Source organism: Homo sapiens, chromosome 3 (assembly GCF_000001405.40).
Source record: "Homo sapiens chromosome 3, GRCh38.p14 Primary Assembly".
NCBI lineage: Eukaryota > Metazoa > Chordata > Mammalia > Primates > Hominidae > Homo > Homo sapiens.
In genome coordinates this window covers 170,018,191-170,025,809 of record NC_000003.12, presented here as the reverse complement: position 1 = coordinate 170,025,809, position 7,619 = coordinate 170,018,191, and positions in this window count along the sequence as shown.

Here is a 7,619-nt window from a genome sequence, read left to right as displayed (position 1 = left end):
AACTCTGCTTAATGGACTGGTCAGCACCAGCAAAGCCGGTTTTGATTTCTTCTCTCTTCTTACTCCCGTCTCCAAGCACCTTTGTTAAGTTAGAATCCAGAGCACAGAGAAAAATTACTAATGAATTCAATTGTATCATCAGCCCCACCTTCCTCATCCTCAGTTCTCATTTTCCTTTTGGTCTCCCCACAGTTGTGTTGCTGTTGGGTTTGGTTTTTTTTTGTTTTGAATGGTGATCATTTATGGAAGGTTAACATGGGCCATGCATGTTTTTACATGTATTCCTCATTCAGTCCTTAAAACTATCCCAGACTTTATGATGCTCATTTTTATAGACGAGGAACCTGAGGCACAGAGAAATTGAATAACTTGCTCAAGTCACACAGCTTGTAAATAGCAGAACCAGGTATTGCGTGTCTAGAGCCACTGTACTCTACCACGTTGTAACCTCTCAGGAAATGCTAACATACTTTCTACTCACTATAACCTTGCTCAAGATCTGGAGAGCCACATTTCATCATAGTCTGGGGTTTGGAGGTTGTCCTTTTTTGTAGAAGGACTTGTCTAACTTTTTTTTTTTTTTTTTTTTTTGAGACGGAGTCTCGCTCTGTCGTCCAGGCTGGAGTGCAGTGGCGCGATCTCAGCTCACTGCAACCTCTGCCTCCTGGGTTCAAGCGATTCTCCTGCCTCAGCCTCCCGAGTAACTTTTTAATTATTGTTGTTGGTCTTCTTTTGTTGGCGATTTCATGGAGAAGCCCAGTATATATGCACTGTACTTCAACTTTTGCCAGAAGTCTTTAGTAGCATTATTTTCGGGTAAATTGCAAAATAGCTGTTTACTCCTGTCGATGAAAAGAGTCAAACTCTGTAAAATATTCTAAGAGATTTATTCTGAGCCAAATATGAGTGGCCATGGCCTGTGACACAGCCCTCAGGAGGTCCTGAGAACATGTGCCCAAGGTGGTGGGGGTACAGCCTGGTTTTATATGTTTTAGGGAAGTATGAGACATCAATAGAAAACATTTAAGAAACACATTGGTTTGGTTTGGAAAAGCAGGACAACTCAAAGTGGGGCGGGGCGGGGGTTGCTTCCGGGCTGTAGGTAAATTTAAACATTTTCTGGTTGACTGTTGGTTGAGTTTATCTGAAGACCTGGCATCACCAGAAAAGAAATGTTTAAGTTAAGATAAAGGGTTGTGGAGACCAACTTAGCAGACTGCAGAGAGAGCAGGTTGTAAAATGTTTCGAATAGGACCTAAAAGGGTACCTGGCTCTTAGTTGATTATCTCCTGGATCTGGAAAAAAAGGAAGGAAAACAAAGTAGAAAGGGGATTCTCTATAGAATGTGGATTTTTCCCATAAGGGATGGCTTTTCAGGGCCATTTCAAGATATGGCAGAGAAACATGTTTTGGGGTAAAATATTTCGATTTTCTTTCTTGTTATGCTAGAGTCAGATTGGAAAGTAAGTCACAATATACAGGGTTAAATAAACCCCATCTGATGAGAATTTATGGTTTGTAGGGCATGACTCCCCAGGCTCCTTAGATAGGAATTTGGACAAGAGAAAAATCAGAGCTTAGTCCTTACTCTCTTACCCTAGGCGCTTTAGGGCTGTTCTGTTCAATATGGTAGCCACTAATCACAAACTAGTGTATTTAACTTATATCACATATGGCTACTAAGCCCTTAAAATATTAAGCCCGTCCAGATTGTAATATGCTGTAATTGCAAAATGTACACCGCATTTCAAAGACTTAGTACAAAAGAAAAAATATAAAATATCTCGATAATAACTTTTATATTGATAGTACTGGAATGATCATATTTTTAATATATTAGGTTAAATACAATGTACGGTTACAGTTTATTTCACTTGTTTCTTCTTACTTTTCAAATGTGGTGACTAGAAAAGGTAAAATTACATATCTGGCTCACATTAAACAATGCTGCTCTAGGGTTTCTTTTCATCCAGCAATGGCTTAGTTAAGACAGAGGAGGCAATATGGATCCACGAAAAAGTGTCTGTGTGAAGCAGGGTGAAGAGTACGTGGGGGTTGATTATATTACATGGTCTATTTTTGCATATGATGGAAATTTCCCTTAATTAAAAGTTAAAAAGCAAACTCCCAAATATGCATAATTAATACAGAATTTTTTTTGCCATGGTTTAAGTTCCAAGCATGTAACTCATCTGAACAATTTATCCGTTTTAAAATATAATGAATTTCCTCTTGACTAGATCCCATCTGTAGGAGGTAAGCCAACAAGGTGTACTGCACAAGAAGAAAAGAATGCAGAGCTTTCAGTCTGGCCAAGAAGACAGGCTAGGTTCAAGGTAGGCAGTAGCTTCACACCTTGAGAGTTTCTAGCTTATTTCTCTCTATAGGAAATATTTGGTACAAAGTCCAAATTCAATGGTTAGTGCCTTGGACCCATAGGAACCTAGCCTTATCAGTAACAGGTTTCACAACATCTGCTATTTTCCTATGAAAGTGTACACACATAACTATGAAACCAGGACATGAAGTGGGAAGCAGTGATTAATTAAAAAGTGTCCTTTGTTTTATTTTTTTCTTGCAGCAGTACTCGAAGATTGCTTGTTAACCCCAGCATAGAGGGTAAGAGTATACCCTTGGGGTCAGACTCCCTGGTTTCAACTCCTGGGTAACTTAGAAAGTGTTACCTAAATTTTCAACGTGTTGGTAGACTTTTTCCATCTGTAAAATAGGAAGCATAAGGTAAGTCTCAAAGGATGTTGTAAGAATTCAATGAAATCATATGTGAAAAATGCTTTCACCGTACTTGGCCAAAAAGAAGGACCCAGTAAATGTTAGCTGTTGTTTTATGGCAAATTTTTGCTTATTTCTAGTTGTTTGACACTTTACAGATTCCCTGGCTAATGAAATATTCTGCCTTCTACATATAGTATGAGAAATGACCAATTATCACAGCATTAAATGGCTGTCTTTATCTCTAGACGCAACTCTTGAGGGCAGGATCTGTGTAGTTAAATAAAAATTACGGGGGGCTATTGTTTTGGGCTAAGTTTCTGCACTAGGCTCCAACAGACCAGACTAAAAATCAGAATGGAGTTAACTTTGATAAAGTTCCACATCACCAAATCCAAACTAGGTTGTTGTCTGACCTTCCGAGAAATCAGGAGAGATAACAGCCAGTTTCTCATACAGGCCCGGTTAAATCTCTGCTTTAACCTTTGTACAACAGAAGTAGCCTGAAGTAACCTAATATTAACTAATCAGTTATTTTTCTATTATTCTGTCTTCCTGTCCCCACCTTACAAGAAAAGTGGCTTTGAAAGGATCAATGCAATTTTCATTCTTTGCTTGTGCTTTCTTCCGTCCTTCTTTGTCTATAAAGCCAACCTCATCTGCTCAGCTTATCGGAACACTTACTCTGTTTTATGGAATGGAGTGTTGCCCAATTACAGACTCTCACATAAAGTCAACTGAGCTCTTTAAACTAAGTTTGTTGTAGTTTTTTATCATTTTGCAGTGTATTATTTATCTTTGAACCTTCAGTGTCTAGCATAATATGCAGCTCAGAATCTTTTTAAAAAGTCGTATTGACTGTAACAAAATACACCTAAAATTAAAGGCCTGGGCATTTTTCTTGTGGTTATAACAGGTTTAAGACACTGGTCTAAGTATATAAGCAATTTATAATGTGAAATGCATGTGGCTTTTGTATTTACCTTTCTTGGGGATGTCATTCAACACATATTTATTAGGTGCCTCCTATACAGAAGGTATGGAGCTGTGCACGGGGTGCTTCAGCAGGGTACAAAACAGACATGGTTCCTATGCCATAGAGCTAATTTTTAACAGGGACGGCAGCTTTACATGATTAACTACAAAATTATGTATTGATAATTTCAGGAGAAGCAGAAGGTGCCAAGAGAGCAAGGGGACACCTAGCCTGAGCTGGGGGCCTCTTGAGAAGGTGATATTCAAAGTGATAGCAAAGACATGAGCAGCTAAAGCCCAGCAAACAGGGTGAAAGAAGATGATAACAGGCTTTCTGGGCATTGAAAGCAGCCTGAAGGCCGCAGGGACCGAAAGAAGCAACATGAATGTTGAAGGAACTGAGGGAAGGCTGGCTTGCCTAGGTCTCAGTCTGGGGAATAGCAAGCTAGAATCTGTAGTTGGAGAAGTCAGCAGAGATCAAGGACCTGGCAAGCCCTGTGAAGGATTTTGAGTTTTATTCTGAATCCATGAAAAGACTCCCCTTCCAATGCGATGGCTTCTGGAATTTGCTTCCAATAATCCAAGAACGTTGGGGAGAGTGGGTGGGGTATATGTGAAACAAAATTGGCCATTCATTGATAATTGAATGAAGCTGGGTGATGAGTACATGGGTGTTCATTATATTCTCAATTTTTGTGAATGTTTTAAATTTTTCATAATTAAAAAAAGGAAAAAAAAATCCCTCCAGCTACAGTGAAGAGAAAGGACTGTAGGGGGCGAGAACAGATTGAGGGGACCAGCCTTTGCTATAGACCGGGTGAGAGAGATGAATCTTGAACTAAGGTGGTAGCAGCAGGATCTAAGGGAAGTGAGTAGATTCTAGTGATGCTGGGAGCTTGAATAGATAGAACTTGGTAATTGATTAGATGTGAGGGACAGGAAGTGGGAGATGAAGCTCTCATGTGAACAAGTCATGTGCCAAGGGCGGATTTTGGTACAGCTTTTTTTTTTTTTTTTTTGAGACAGTGTCTCGCTCTCGCTCTGTTGCCCAGGTTGCAGTGCAGTGGCACAATCTCAGCTCACTGCAGCCTCCACCTCCTGGGTTCAAATGATTCATTCTCCTGCCTCAGCCTCCCAAATAGCTGGGATTATGGGTGCACACCATGCCTGGCTAGTTTTTGTATTTTTAGTAGAGACGGGGTTTCACCACGTTGGCCAGGCTGGTCTTGAACTCCTGACCTCAGGTGATCCACCTACTTTGGCCTCCCAAAGTGCTGGGATTATAGGCATGAGCCATTGCGCCCAGCTGAGCCTGCTGTAGTCTTAACACTTCCTCCCACTAACTCCATCTATCTACCATCTAATTAGGGTTTAATTTAATTCAGCAAACATTTTTAGATTCTTACTGTTGCCAAGTACTGTATGGGAGATGTGGGGAGGGGTAAAGAGGAACATGCAATTATAAACACACTAAGCTCTCATTAGTTGTCTGTGGTGGGAGAGCCATTTTATATACATTACCCATAACCCTCACAGCATCCATGCAAAGTAGACATTATTTTATATTTTATAGATGAGGAAACGGGTTTGGGGAGGTTATGGAACCTGCCTGAGGTCTGAGATGGAAGTCAAGTTCAATTTTTGGCTCTAATGCTTGAGCTCTTTCCCCTACACAAGTACTGAAAATGCAGATAAAGAAGTTCCAAAGAAAATTCTATTCATTTCAGTTGTTTTTCTCAGATTCACACTGAGGCTGAAAACCATAGTTTCATGATCCCAAGCTAATGCTAACATGCTACCTGGAAGTTAATATACGAAAATCTGAGATGGGTCAAGCCAGTTCACCATTTCCATCATAAAGAGCCACAGTTATCTCTTAATCAAGTTAAACTATCTTTCCCCATATGGTATGTTTAACCCTTTAAGTCCAGTTACTGGAATGAAGTTTGAGAGTTTCATGTGTTTCTTCTCTGAGGACAGGACCATTATTGTTCCAAGGCTAGCCGCAGGCAAGATATCTAGCACTTTCTCTTCCCTGCTGTGATTCAAGTGGTTGTAGAAGATAACTGCTTTGTCAAATATTTATATACCTGTGCTTATTTATTTTTAAAATCTAGGCGAATATTTATACAGTAAAATATATTCAAATGATAAGCTTATGACAATGACATAGGTAAAATATAGTGACAAAATTTTCCTCCTTAACCTTTTAAATTTGTAATTTTATTTTTTATTTACTTATTTTTTTTTTTGAGACGGAGTCTTACTCTGTTGCCCAGGCTGGGGTGCAGTGGCGTGATCTCGGCTCACTGAAACCTCTGCCTCCCGGGTTCAAGTGATTCTCATGCCTCGGCCTCTCAAGTAGCTGGCACTACAGGCATGAGCCACCATGCCCAGCTTATTTTTGTATTTGTAGTAGAGACAGCATTTCACCATGTTGGCCAGGCTGGTCTCAAACTCCTGACCTCAGGTGATCCACCCGCCTCAGCCTACCAAAGTGTTGGGATTACAGGCATGAGCCACTGCGCCCTGCCAACTTTTTTTATTATGGAAAATTTTAAACATGCAAAGAAAAAAAACTAGAATAGTATAATAAGCCCCTGTGTTCCATTACCCAGCTTCAACAATTATTAACTCATGGTCAGTCTTGTTTCATCGATATCCCACCCACTTCCTCCCACACATTTTGTTCTGAAGCAAATCCCTGACATCATATCATTTCATCCGTAAATATTTCAGTATGTACTTGTAAAAGATAAGACTCTTTAGGGACCAAGTGTTTTGTCAAGCATTTCTTGAGACTGATCTGTGGGAAATTTGCCAAAAAAAAAGTGGCTCAAATGTTTTGCAGAAAGCTGCACTTCTTGGAGGGGTGGGGAGTGAGGTTGGAGGTGATGGTGAAGTCCACAGTGACAGCCTTTGGGTGAGGGTGTGACCGGTCTTCACAGTGTCAGTGCCCACTTAGGGAAAGTCAGTCCTATCTATACTTTGTGAAAACCAGGACTTCAAATCTTGGACCACTCTCTTTGTTATTAGCTTTCTACTACCTTTTGCACCTGCAGTGTTTGCAATGTCCTTTCCCAAAGGTTAGCTCATTTTAATTAAGACCAGTAACAGGGCCATCGAGGAAATGCACTGACTGTAAATACCTTGAGGGTAGAGTCTGGATACATAATTGTATCCCTGCAGTACCTTGCATAGCACTTAGCCCATAGTAGGTGCTCAGATGAGGTTGTCCAATAAAGGAAGGGAGGAAAGAAGGAAGGTATAACTAATTGAAAGAATGCCAGAATTTTAGAAATGGTCAAATATGACAATAAGTAAGACAGCAAGAAAAATAAAATCTATGAAGAGGCAGAGGCCGAATAATGCCTCCCCTCCCAAAGATGTCTGCTTTTGAATCCCCAGAACCTATGAATATGTTACCTTACCTGGCAAAAGGATTTGTGCAGATGTAAAAAAGTGAAGAATCTTGAGATGGGGAGATATCTTGGATTATCCAGATGGGGTCACTGTAATGGCAAGAGTCCTTATAAGTGAAAGAGAGAGGCGAGAGAGGCAAGAGAGTCTGAGGAGATGTGAGGATGGAAGCAGAAGTTGGATTGATGCTTGTACTGGTTTTGAAGATGGAGGAAGGGGGCCATGAGCCAGAGGAGGCGGCAGCCTGTAGCATCTGGAAAAGGAAAGGAAACAGATTCTCCTCTAGAGCCTCCAGAAATCGACCTGGCTGACACCTTGATTTTAGCCCTGTGAGATGTATTTTAGACTTCTGACCTCCAGAACTATAAGATGATACATTTGTGTTATTTTAAGCCACAAGTAGATATTTGTCACAGCAGCCATAGGAAACTGACCTAGAGAATTTAGACAATCTTGTCTTAGTTTTTTTGCAAGATACGTGATGAAGCCACTAC